We start from the raw sequence: 14,564 nt of genomic DNA, 5'->3' as shown, positions 1-14,564 counted from the left end.
ACCTTGGCCTCCCACAGCGCTGGGATTATAGGCGTGAACCACCGTGCTGGCTAATATTTTAAATTATAAGAGAAAACCACTGCAACCTTATTGTATAAATTTGAAAATCTGAAAGGAACTGGATGATTTTCTAGAAAGTATTAATTAGTAAAATTGATAAAAAGTTTGAAATTTTTAATAGATCACTAACTATAGATAAAATAGAAAAGGAAACCAAAACTCTATTCGACAAAATTATAGAAAATCCAGATAGTTTTAAGAGGCTAATTCTATAAGATCTTCAAGAAACAGATGATGCTAATGTAGTTTTAACTATTTCAGAACATAGGAAAAAACAAAGATGTGTCAGCGCTAGGTAGAAAGCTAGACAAAGACAAAAACCAAGTAAGGTTAGAAACAGAAAACTATAGACCAAAGGTAAAAGATAAAAGTAAGAATAGAAGTTAATTAAATAGAAAATATACAATAGAGGCTGGATGCAGTGGCTCATGCCTGTCATCCCAACACTTTGGGAGACCAAGATGGATGGATCACCTGAGGTCAGGAGTTCAAGACCAGCCTGATCAATATGGTGAAACCCATGTTTGCTAAAAATACAAAAGATAGTCAGGTGTGGTGGCATGCGCCTGTAGTCCTAGCTACTCGGGAGACTGAGGCATGAGAATCACTTGAACCCGGGAGGCAGAGGTTGCAGTGGGCCAAGATAATGCCACTGTGCTCCAGCCTGGACAACAGAGCAAGACTCTGTCTCAAAAAAAGAAAAAAGAAAGAAAATATACAATAGAGCAGATCTATTAAAATGTGGCGAAACTAGGCCAACATTCTCCCAGTTTTGTCACTTTTTTTTAAAGAAAAGCCAGCAATCTTAAATAATCCATGTAATATTTCCCAATTTGTTAATATTAATAACTCATTCAAAATGTTTTAAAATGTTATGAAGGCTAAATAGAATACATCTATACCCCACAGCTAGTTTGAAATTTCTACATAGCCCAATCTGACTTATGAATATAAATGTAAAAATACTAATAAAATACAAGCAAATCAAATCCAACAGTATATTCATGATCAAGTTGGTATTTATCCTAGAGATGCAAAAATGGTTCAAATTTAGTGAACATATTAGTGCAGGGGTTGGCAAACTATGGCCTACCAACCAAATCTGGCTGGCTGCCTGTTTTTGTACAACAGGTGAGCTAAGGATGCATTTTACATTTTCAAATGGTTGGGTGAAAATTTTTAAAGTTAAAGACTTTTCTATGGCCAGAAAAATGTAAAATGTTTTTAACTAAAAAAATGAATTTGGCCAGGCACAGTGGCTCACGCCTGTAATCCCAGGACTTTGGGAGGCCAAGGCAGGCGGATCGCTTGAGGTCAGGAGTTTGAGACCAGCCTGAGCAACATGGTGAAACCCCGTCTCTACTGACTCGATCATGCATACACTGTGGGATTTGATTTGCTAATATTTTATTAGTATTTTTACATCTATAGGCATCAGTCAAATTGGTCTATGAAGAGATTTTTACCTTTGACCTTTTGTCTATAGTTTCCTGTTTCTAACCTTATTTGGTTTTTGTCTCTGTCTAGCTTCCTACCTAGCACTGACAAATCTTCATTTTTTTCCTGGGTTCTGAAATAGCCAAAATTGCATTGGCATCATCTGTTTCTTGAAGGTCTTATAGAAATTGCCTCAAAAGCTACCTGGGTTTTCTAGTAACCAAGGAAATGAAAAAGAAAAAAAAATCTGGCCCACCATTTGCTTTCAGAAAGTTCAAGCATTTGTATTTATATATGAAGCAACTAAGATGCAGAGTTGTTAACTGAATCAGGTTGCTAAACTAGTAAATAAACAGTGGGGAAATAAAAATCCAGCTCCCAGCAAGAGAACCATTATAGAATACCATCTCTCCCAGCAGTCCTCTTGCTCAAAGTGGCAAGGCTACGGTCTAGCAGGACTGAGACTTCTGTGGCTACTGACACATTAAAGTTCAATTCAACAAGTGTTTGCTAAGCACCTATGGAGCTGAGCCTTATAACTGGGCACTGGGGATACATATAGCAGTGAAAAAGATGGAGTTTATAGTCAAGTGGGAGATTGGGTAAGCATTACAATAGAGGAAACACAGCAACCTCTGGAAGCATAGAATAACATTTCACTTAATCTGGGGAGCTAGGCAAACCAAGATGATAAAGGGGGTCAAGGAAGACTGCCCAAAGAAAATCACCTGCAGTATGATTTAGCCAAGTATAGGAGAGGAAGGAAGGGTTACAGGCAGAAAGAACAAAACATGTAAAGGCCAGAAAGTGAGAGGGGGCGTTGTACGTTTGAGGAACTGAACAATGGGAAATGTGGCAGGGAACTTAGAACGTGAGGGAATCAGTAATATGCAAGAAAGTAAACAGGGGCCAAATCATACAGGGCCTCGGCCAGGCGCGGTGACTCACGCCTGTAATCCCAGCACTTTGGGAGGCTGAGGTAGGTGGATCACCTGAGTTCAGGAGTTTGAGACCAGCCTGGCCAACATGGTGAAACCCATCTCTACTAAAATACAAAATTAGCCAGTGTGGTGGCGCATGCCTGTAATCCCAGCTACTCGGGAGGCTGAGGCAGGAGAATGGCTTGAACCCGGAGGCAGAGGTTGCAGTGAGCTGAGATCATCGCATTGTACTCCAGTCTGGAAGACAAAAGCGAAACTCTGTCTCAAAAAAAAAATAAATAAATCATATAGGGCTGCATATTTTATTATAAGGAGATTGGGCTTTATTTTAAGAGCATAGAGCAGTTGTCAAATATTTTAAGCAAGATCCCAACAGCCTTTAATTCACATTTTAGAAAGATTGCTCTGGCTAGAATACGAAAAAAAAAAAAACAAATTGGTTAGGGGTGGAGGCGTTTGCATGACATGAGGGTCGGAAGCAAAAATTGCTCTTAGAAGTCTTTTCTGGTCATCCAGGTAAAAGATGACAATGACCAAACTAGGGAAGTGGCAATAGGGATGGAAAGAGATAGAATCAACAGGCCATGGTGATTGAGTAGAAGATGGAATGCAAGGAATTCTGGCTTGAGAAATTGTTTAGAAGTGCCCTTTGCAGAAATGAAGAACATGAGAGGCAGGGCTGAACTGAGGGGAGAATGGATGAGTTCAACTGTGAGCCTGCTAAGGTTGGGTGACCCATGTGCCATCCAAGTGAAGATGTCAAGTGAACAGTTGAACATAATGGTCTGAAGCTCAGCAAAAAATACTTAGGCTAGAAATATAGATTTAGGAATTCCCTGTGAGGCCATGAGCATGCATAAGACAGCCCACAGGGAATGTTTAATGTGAGAAAGCTCAGGACAGAACCAAGAGTAGTACCAACTGAAAAAACAGGCAGAGGAAGAAAGGCCTGAAAGGGGAAGGAAAAGTCAGGGGATGTATTAAGAAGGAAATAATAGTCAACAGTGTCAAATATTGTTAAGAGGTCCAGTAGGTTTAATAACTGAGAAGTGTCCATTAGATTTAGCAACAAGACAGTCCCTGTTGACCTTTCATCCCAGAATAAAATGCTGGGGGGCAACAACTTCACATGAATGAAAAGGTACCAAATTTACTCTAAAAGGAAAAACACCCTGGACTCAAAGCCAGACGATATTCTTGGGTCAGGTTTTTTTCATGTCCTAAATTTAACCAGCTGGAATGCTTTGTTAAGTGGTATTTTATTCACCCTTGAAATGAAGGATTTGCCTTTTAAAAGTGTCTCTGTAATTCATCTTCAAGGTAGAACAAGGTGGTATCTTTGGGTTAATTGTTCTCTACAGAAACAGATGCTGGTTGCTGTAAATACCACTGAGGAACTTTAATGTGCCCCAGATGTAGAAGCCTCTAGTGACCTAAATACACAAACAGGGACTAAAGAGAACCAAGTAAAAGATTCAAGATTTCAAGTGTAAGCGGAGAGATACTGCTTCAAAGTGGAAGAGACCAAACCTTCACCACCAAAGGAATGTGAACTAGTAAGTTGAGTCCAAAGATAAAAGCTAAAGACTTGATAAGAGCCAGAAAAGCAGAGTGCCTGGTCTCTGCTAGAATGACTCAGCACCCTCGCAGTTAGGCTGGAAGCCCTTTCAGCCTCTTCAAGAGCTGCTTTTCCTGGCCTGATAATGAGCAACTTGGCCTGGCATAATCCTACATTCCAGAGGCCCTCAGTTTTTCAAAATTAAAAAACAATATAGACTTCTGTTTCCAGCCAAGATGGAATAACAGGAACTGGATTTTCCCTTCACCTGAAACAACTAAAAGACTGGACAAAATATATGAAACAATGGTTTTTAAGATATTGTACATCAGGCAACGAAGGACAGTGATCCCTGAGAAACAGAAAAGAGACAAGCTGTGCCCTGTGATCAGCCCAGCTTATTCCCGGGAGAGACTTTCCAAAAGGGAGAGGGAACTCAGGCCAACTCCAAATCCCTGAACTGAGAAGTTCGGGAGGCCAAGGCAGCTAGAGTTCCAAGGCAGAGTACCAGAGAGGAGACAGTCACACAAAGAGAGGGCCCCAGAGGTCTCCAGAGAGTCCCCACTCACAACTTCAGCTAAGTGCTAATGAGCTCATGGGTTTGAGGAAAGTATCCCAAGGCTGGGGAAAGAACCACCAAAGAATTACAGGGAACAATCTTTAAAGCTCACACAGGGCCAGGAATAGTTCTTAAGCTCATCAACCAGAGTGGAAAGACCTTCTAATTCCTTAGGAGGTATTAGATAGAATACTCAGAAGGGTCTTCCCTCAGTTGTGGGGAATAATCAACCCTAGATTAAATGCTGTACTTGTCCATCTAAAAAAAAAAAAAAAAAAAAAAGTTTAAAAGCAAGACCCAAAAGGATCAAACTGTTTTTGATTTTGGTTTTTGTTTTGTTTTGTTTTGTTTTGTTTTTTTGATACTGTCTCGCTCTGTCGCCCAGGATGGAGTGCAGTAGCAAGATCTCAGCTCACTGCAACCTCCACCTCCCAGGTTCAAGTGATTCTTATGCCTCAGCCTGCTAAGTAGCTGGGACTACAGGTGTGCACCACCCCACCTGGCTAAGTTTTGTATTTTTAGTAGAGACAGGGTTTCACCATGTTGGCCAGGCTGGTCTCAAACTCCTGACCTCAAGTGATCCACCCACCTCAGCCTCCCAAAGTGCTGGGATTACAGGCATGCACCGCACCCAGCTAGGATCAAACTGTTTCTAAGTAACTTAACTGCATCCCAGAACAAGCTAAAGAATACTTGTAAGAATATAAAAATATCTAGAACCCAAAAAGGCAAAATTTGTTAAATCTGGTATCTAATAAAAAGTGAACAGGTATGGCAAAGAAGCAGAAAAAAATATGAACCATAATAAGGAGAAAATCAATAGAAACCAACCGAGAAATGACATGTTAAGTACGCCAGGTATGGTGGCTCACACCTGTAATCCTAGCACATTGAGCAGCTGAGGCAGGAGGATGGCTTGAGGCCAGGAGTCTGAGACTAGCCTGAGCAACTTAGACCCCATCTTTACAAAAACTTTTAAAATTAGCTGGGCATGGTGGCACATGACTGTGGTCCTAGCTACATGAGAGGATGGCTTGAACTCAGGAGTTCGAGGTTGCAGTGAGCTATGATCACAGCCTGGGTGACAGAGCAAGACCCTGTTTAAAAATAAAAATAAAAAAAGAGTATGTGAAGTAAAGACATGGAAGATATATATATTTATTATATTATATAATCATATAATGAGTATATTATATAATCATATAATGAGTATATTATATAATCATATAATGAGTATATTATATAATCATATAATGAGTATATTATATAATCATATAATGAGTATATTATATAATCATATAATGAGTATATTATATAATCATATAATGAGTATATTATATAATCATATAATGAGTATATTATATAATCATATAATGAGTATATTATATAATCATATAATGAGTATATTATATAATCATATAATGAGTATATTATATAATCATATAATGAGTATATTATATAATCATATAATGAGTATATTATATAATCATATAATGAGTATATTATATAATCATATAATGAGTATATTATATAATCATATAATGAGTATATTATATAATCATATAATGAGTATATTATATAATCATATAATGAGTATATTATATAATCATATAATGAGTATATTATGTAATCATATAATGAGTATATTATGTAATCATATAATGAGTATATTATGTAATCATATAATGAGTATATTATGTAATCATATAATGAGTATATTATGTAATCATATAATGAGTATATTATGTAATCATATAATGAGTATATTATGTAATCATATAATGAGTATATTATATAATCATATGAGTATATTATATAATCATATGAGTATATTATATAATCATATAATGAGTATGTAAATTTATATAAAATATATTTCTATATTATATAAATATATATAATGTATACTTATATATTATATATTATATATATTATATATTATATATAAAATATAATATATATTTATATTTATATATTATATATTATGTATAAATATATTTTATTTATATATCATATATAAATATATTTTATTTATATATTATATATAAATATATAATATATATTTATATATATAAAAAGACCCAATTGAACAACTAGAGGTGAAAAATATAATGCCTGAGATAAAAAACACAAAAGGTGGGATTAACAATGGGTTAGACATTGCACAAAAAAAGATCGGTGAACTCGAAGACACAGCAGTAGAAACCACCCAAAATTAAACACAAAGAAGACCAAAATAAATGAATAAATGGATCATCAGTGAGCTATGGAACAACTTCAAGCAGCCTAATAGACACATATTATTAACTGGAATAGATATGTATAATAACTGGAATCCCAGAAGAAAGTAGGGGACAGAAAATATATTTAAAGAAATAGTGGTTGGGCTTTTTCCAAGTTTGATGAAAACTGTAAACCCCACAAATCCAAGAAGGTCAATGAACTCTGAGCAGAAGAAACGTGAAGAAACCTAAAAGTACATCATGATCAAATTGCTTAAAACTAGTGAAAAGATAAAATCTTAAAAGCAGCCAGAAAAAAAAAAAAAACTACACATTACATACACAGGAGCAAAAATAAGAATGACATCAGACGTCTCATCAGAAACTATGTGACAGAAGACAGGGAAGCAATATCTTTAATGTATTGAAAGAAAAAAAACAGGCTGAGTGCAGTGGTTCATGCCTGTAATCCCAGCATGTTGGGAGGCCGAGGTGAAGGGATGGTTTGAGGATGGCTTGAGGCCAGCCTGTGTATATAAATAATAGCAAGACCCATCTCCACAAAAAAAATTTAAAAAGTAACCAGATATGGTGGTGCATGCCTGTAGTCCTAGCTACTCGGGAGGCTGAGGTGGGAGGATTGCTTGAGCCCAGGAATTTGAGGCTGCAGTGAGCTATGATCACACTATTGGACTCCAGCCTGGGCAACAGAGTGACCCCCTGACTCTTAAGAAAAATAAAACAAAAAGAAGAAAAAGAAAAACAGAATTCTTTACCCAGCAAAAAATATCTTCCAAAAATGAAGGTAAAATAAAGATTTTTTTCAGACTTACAAAAGCTGACTGAATTCATCATCTGCAAACATGCGCTACAAGAAATGTTAGTCTTTCAAGTTGTGGGAAAATGGTACCATATGGAAGTCTGGATCTACACAAAGGAATAAAGAGAACACTGGAAATGCTAACCACATGGGTATATATGAAATAGCTTTTCTTATTATTTAAATCTGTTTAAAAGAACAGTATAACTAGGATAGGAACCATTGACTTAAAAAAAAAAAACACCCAGAGCTCCCTGCATCCTGTAATAAATTGCATATGTTGCCTTCTGATTAGATAATTGCAAGAAGCAAACTCAAGGGAAGCTATTAGCAAGTTAGCAATTGCAATCATGTGGGAATATGGATGCTACTTATGGAAGAAAATAATATAGATATGTGTAGTCTAAAATGCAACAACCACAGTTGAGATCAGCTGGATTGCACTCAGGTTTGAATATAAGGCTTATGTAGAGTAAAGTCTGTTTCTGGATCCATGTACTGTGATGGTGAAGTGCCCTTCCAGTGGACATAGCAGACCATACTGTAAAGAAACAGGGGCAAAGGTCATGGCATCCAGGGATCCCAAACCTTCTCCAGGGAAATCTGATTGGAAACTAGAGGACATATCTAAGTTAGTTGTTCTGGAGCTGGAACTTAGAGAAGTGGCATGTATTGCCTTTGCTTCCAGATTCTTTCCAATCACTGAAGGCCTGCCCCCACCTTTTTTTTTTTTTTCTTTTTTTTTGAGACGGAGTCTTGCACTGTTGCCCAGGCTGGAGGTGCAGTGGTGTGATCTCGGCTCACTGCAAGCTCCGCCTCCCAGGTTCAAGCAATTCTTCTGCCTCAGCCTCCTGAGTAGCTGGGATTACAGGCACACGCCACCACGCCAGGCTAATTTTTGTATTTTTAGTAGAGATGGGGTTTCACCATATTGGCCAGGCTGGTCTTGAACTCCTGACCTCGTGATCCGCCCGCCTCAGCCTCCCAAAGTGCTGGGATTACAGGCATGAGCCACTGTGCCCGGCCTGGGGACCCCTTATTTTGCCCTCACCACACTGCTGAAACTTCATTCACTCCGCAGTCACCATTGTCTTCCTCATTATGCAGACCACTTGCCTATTCACAGTCCTCATCCCCCTTGCCTGAGTTTTCCTGCTGCTTCTCTGACAACTCTTCTGTTTTCTGACTCTGCTTACCTTCTTGTGTGTTCCTGGCTGTGGCCTTTAGTCCTCTTCCCTCCTCAATATTCTTTCCCTCTGAGAGCTCATGCACGCCTATTGCTGCGCTCACCTGTTCTAACGACTCCTAGATCTCTCTCCATTCCCAGGGCCCAGCACCACCTCTGCCTTGACACACCAGCCACCAGTCTCCTTTCCCTCTGCCTCCACCCTTCTCTCTGACTGCTCACCTAGACTGTAGTGCTCACTGTCTGCTTCCATATCTTTCTACCCAACTAGACTGTGAGCAGCTCCAATGCAGTGACTGACGTGTTTTCTTAGTATCTGCCTACTGCCAAGCCTGGGGCCTGGCACATGCTTTAAAAAGCAAAATCTGGCCAGGCACGGTGGCTCATGCCTGTAATCCCAGCACTTTGGGAGGCCAAGGCGGGTGGATCACGAGGTCAGGAGATCGAGACCATTCTGGCTAATACGGTGAAACCCCGTCTCTACTAAAAATACAAAAAAAAATTTAGCTGGCATGGTGGCATGTGCCTGTAGTCCCAAATACTCAGGAGGCTGAGGCAGGAAAATCACTTGAACCCGGGAGGCGAGGTTGCAGTGAGCCGAGATCACGGCACTGCACTCCAGCCTGGGCAACAGAGCGAGACTCTGTCTCAAAAAAGTAAAAATAAATAAAATAAAAATAAAAAGCAAAATCTGGCCAGGCATGGTGGCTCATGCCTATAATCCCAGCACTTTGGGAGGCCGAGGTGGGCAGATCACCTGAGGTCAGGAGTTCAAGACCAGCCTGGCCAACATGGTGAAACCCCATCTCTACTAAAAATACAAAAAAATTAGCCAAGAGTGGGGGCGGGCACCTGTAGTCCCAGCTACTCAGGAGGCTGAGGCAGGAGAATCACTTGAACCTGGGAGGCAGAGGTTGCAGTGAGCCAAGACTGAGCCACTGCACTCCAGCCTGGGCAACAGAGTGAGACTCTGTCTCAAAAAATAAAATTAAAAATAAATAAATAAAAAGCAAAATCTGGCTTGGGAATTTGGTTCTAAAATCAGTGTATAAGACATAAATCATGAATAACCACAGTTATCCTTAAATAATCCCTATGTCAACCATAAAATACACATGGTTGACATAAAATGAGGAACAGCAACTTGACCTTCCCCATCTCACACTCCCTCTGGGACGTATTTTCAGAGTGGAAGAACTGGAACAGCTCCCATTAGTTGCAGTGCATCTTCTTTGTCACTCCCTCCCACTTGGGCTTTCATTTTAACCCCACACATTGACGGAATTCTCATAAGTAAAATGTATATATAACCACAATTTCATTGTAAAGGTTTGATTAATGATCTCTATCTTTCCTTAAATTGGTTCTTCCTCTTGACTTCACATTTCCGATAATAAAGCACCTCACTCCTCCCTTTCCCTCACTCTTCCTTTCTGGTTTCCGGGTTCTGGTTCATTCTTCCTTTGCATAGTATCCTTTTGTCTCCATTCTTATTGACATCTACATAATTCAGGCCCTGATCACCTCCCATCTTGATTTCTATGATAGCCTCCTAACTGGTCTTGCTGTTCTCTCTCCAATTCATGTTTCACTCTGCCATTAGATTAGCATTTTCTAAGGCATTGATTTAGTGCTATCACTCCCTGATTCAGAAGCCATCAATGTCTTCCCATTGGCTATCAGAGTCGAGGCCCTGCACAATCTAGTCACAAGCTGTCTTCAGTCCCACTCCTACTCTTCTGAGATAGGAACACTATGCTCCTTGCCTGCTCCCCAAACTTTTCCCACCTATGTCACTTCCCTCCACTTCAAACGCCACCTCCACAAACATCTTCACTTGCCAAAACCCAACCCAGCCTTAAATGGTAATATCCAAAGTGACCTCTCCTTCTTCTCATCACTGTAGTTCTTTCTTTGTACCACTTACCTCACACTGCTGGATTATAAGTACACTGAAGAAAGAAGACACATCATATATATTTTTTCATTTATTCACTCATTCAACATATATTATTAAGCACTTACAGTGGGCCAGGCACTCAGTGAGGTGCCGGATATTTATATAGTGAAGACAGAGAGAGCTCTGCCACTCGCAGAAGTCAGTCTGGCAGTAGAGGGTGGCAACAGACAAGCTGTGAACCCCAATAGTGGCTATGAGAGAAAAAGTGAAAGAGGAGAACTTCATCTTGACAGTGGTCAGAAAAAGCTTATTCCCAAATAAGTCATATGTAAGCTGAGACCTAAAGAATGAGTAGAAAATAGCCAGGCAGAAGGGGGAAGAAGAAGTCGAAGAAAAAGTACCAAAAAAAAAGTCAGAAGGTAAGAGAGGACATGGTTCATTAGAAGAACCTAAAGAAAAAAGTCTTGGCTAGAGCACATAGAACAAGGTGAGAGTGAGTGGCAATGGGGCTGGGGGGAGAGAAGCCAGGTCATAGCCCTGCCTTGTGAGGCTTGTAAACCAAGTGAAAGAGGTTAGGCTTGATCCTAAGGGGAAAGGAGAGTTTTAAGGAAAGATGTATCATGATATTCACATGGTGGAAAGATGGAAGAATGGATGGTCGGGGTAAAGATCAGGGGTTAGGCTTGGCATGGTGGCTCATCCCTATAATCACAGTACTTTGGAAGGTTGAGGCAGGAGGATGGCTTGAGCCCAGGAGTTTGAGATCAGCCTGGGCAACATGACAAAACCCCATGTCTACAAAAAATATAAAAAATAGCTGGGCATGGTGGCACACACATGTAATCCCAGCTACTCATGAGGCTGAGATGGGGGAATAGCTTGAACCCAGGAGGTCGAGGCTGCAGTGATCTGTGATGGTGCCACTGCACTCCAACCTGGCAGCCTGGGCAACAGAGCGGGACCCTGTCTCAAAAAAAAAAAAAAAAAAAGACTAGGGGTAATGCAATAATCCAGATGCAAGAAGACAGAGACCTGGACTAGGGTAATAGCAGAAAAAGCAGAGAGAAGTGGATAGATTTGGATGCTGCACCTAATATGACTTGCTAATTAACCGAATTCAGATGGACCATAAAAAGAAAAGGTCAAAGATGATCACACAAACTTGACCACTGCTTTGTACATAATAGGTGCTCAATAAATATTTGAGGAATGAATGAATTTATAGCAAATAAATGAATGAGCAAATAAAACAATGAATGAGAGGCAGAGAAGAGTTTTTTAAAAATGATTTTTGAAGATTCCTTCTAAGGCAAAGCCATCCCAAGAAGTAATATAGACCCCCAAAAAATTTTATACATATATATTCAATAAGTAAAAGGAACCATTTTAAATATAGGGAATTCTAATTACACTGGCATAGTTAAGGCCAAAAATATAAAGTAGACATTTCTACCTTATTTATCTTCAACCCTTGCCTATATATATATATATATATATATATATATATACATATACATACATCAGAATTTATTGGTTTACACCCTCCCTGTATTTTTCTTTTTTTTTTTTTTTCTTTGAGACAGAGTCTTGCTCTGTTGCCCAGGCTGGAGTGCAGTGGTGCAATCTTGGCTCACTGCAACCTCTACCTCCCGGGTTCAATCAATTCTTCTGCCTCAGCCTCCCAAGTAGCTGGGACTACAGGCACGTGCCACCACACCCAGCTAATTTTTCTGTATTTTTAGTAGAGACAGGGTTTCACTGTGTTAGCCAGGATGGTCTCGATCTCCTGACCTCGTGATCCACCCACCTCGGCTTTCCAAAGTGCTGGGATTACAGGCGTGAGCCACCGCATCCGGCCCCTCCCTGTATTTTTTAAAGGATGAAATCTGGCCAAGGTAAGCTTAGGGGATACAAAGAATTATAAGTGCCTCAGATCACTTTTGATATTTCTGCCCTTCCAAATACTGCCTTCCTGAGTCTCTGCCCAACTGATAATCTGTCAGGATCATCAACAGCTCCTAATTCCCAAAATCCTAGGCCTTTTGGACATGTGCCACCTTTTTTGCCACACTCTTGGAATGGTCCTTTCAATGGTCATCAAAATTGTTCAGAGTTGGATTCATTCATCAAGCATTGATCAAGGGCTTCCTACACGCCACCTGAGGTTGTAACCATGAAAACAATAGGCACAGACCCTTCTCTCGAGGAACTACCAGTCCCCTGGAGCATTTAAATTTACATATGTAAATTTATATATGTAAATGATGGAATGTGTTTTTCTTCATTTACTCATTAAGACGTTTCTTTGGTTGTGGGGACACTGGCCTCAGAAATTACCAGAGGCCTGCAGTTATTTGAAAGGTGTCAAGGAAAGCATGTCATTTTCATAATGTAATATCACCACCTAGTGGTTCCAGAAAACTTTACCAATTGATCCAGGAAAATTTTCTTACAAAGCTATATTCCTGGGAATGACTCTCCACCATTTCTCCAGAACTTTTCTTTTCTCTATCAAGATAATCTAAGGGATGATTCTCTAATATGTATTAGATACCCAATATCTGTTAAATAAATGCATATATACAAGGACAAATGAATTTCATACCCTGGTACCTTATGTCAATGGAAAGAGAAAATTTAGAAATTCCTTCCCAGATTCCTCTGGACTTCTAATCATTTCTATCTAAGAAGGACCTTCTAATCATTTCTATCTAAGGCCAGAGGTATTACTGTCCTTAATTTATCAAGCAATTCCTTTAGTGCATTTGAATAAACTGATTTTTTAAGTGTCACTGTGTCATGGATGAAACCCTCACTCCCTCCCACCAAACCCAAGGGGTTTTCTATAATTCAAAAACATTCTGGGCACGGTGGGTCACGCCTGTAATCCCGGCATTTTGGGAGCTCAAGGTGGGCGGATTACTTGAGGCCAGGAGTTTGAGTCCAACCTGCCCAACATGGAGAAACCCTGTCTCTACTAAAAATACAAAAATTAGCTGGGCTTGGTGGCACATGACTGTAAACCCAGCTACTCAGGAGGCTGAGGCACAAGAATCGCTTGAACCCAGGCGGCGGAGGTTGCAATGAGCAGAGATTGCGCCACCGCCCTCCAGCCTGGGCAACAGGGGGAGAGTCTGTCTCAAAACATACAAAAACAAAATCAATGAAGAACAGCATATGTCACCCCAGAGGTTGGGACCAATACCAAATCAAAGTCCAGCTGGCTCTGAGTATGGGCCTAGAATATCTGAAGATGCTTTCATTGATTATTGCTTCTACACAGGTGTCAAACTGGGCCAGGTGTCACTAGGAAGTGTGCTTAGAAAATTATGGTAACCCAGGCCAGGCACAGTGGCTCACACCTGTAATCCCAGCACTTTGGGAGGCCGAGGTGGGCAGATCACCTGAGGGCAGAGTTCGAGACAAGCCTGACCAACATGGAGAAACCCCGTCTCTACTAAAAATACAAAAATTAGCCAGGCATGGTGGTGGGCACCTGTAATTCCCAGCTACATGGGAGGCTGAGGCAGGAGAATCGCTTGAACCCGGGAGGCGGAGGTTTCGGTGAGCCGAGATCACGCCATTGCACTCCAGCCTAGGCAACAAGAGCAAAACTCTGTCTCAAAAAACAAAAAACAAAAAAAAAAAAGAAAAAGAAAATTATGGTAACCCAAAGCAAGTGGCCTGTCTCTAGCAGGGATCACAAAGTAGCAAAGAACAAAAGAAACTAAGGACTAGTTTCTTGGAAATATAAGCCTCTTAGAACCATATTCCAACAGGCTAAATCTTAAGTCTTTTTGTTGGTTTAAATAAGTAAAGTGAATCTCCAAGCAATACTGGCTATTAATTAAGCCTTACTTCTGCTTCCTTAGGCCCAGATG

The 14,564-nt window shown here is 40.0% G+C and overlaps 1 protein-coding gene across 1 annotated transcript in view; it reads right to left on the bottom strand.

Moving 5' to 3' along the window:
- RGS3 (regulator of G protein signaling 3) overlaps nt 1-14,564 on the bottom strand; it is a 153,009-nt gene that overhangs the window by 138,218 nt on the left and 227 nt on the right. The gene's annotated exons all lie outside the window — the stretch shown is intronic.

Source organism: Homo sapiens, chromosome 9, assembly GCF_000001405.40.
Source record: "Homo sapiens chromosome 9, GRCh38.p14 Primary Assembly".
Classification (NCBI taxonomy): Eukaryota; Metazoa; Chordata; class Mammalia; order Primates; family Hominidae; genus Homo; species Homo sapiens.
This window is presented reverse-complemented; position numbering and strand designations above follow the sequence as displayed.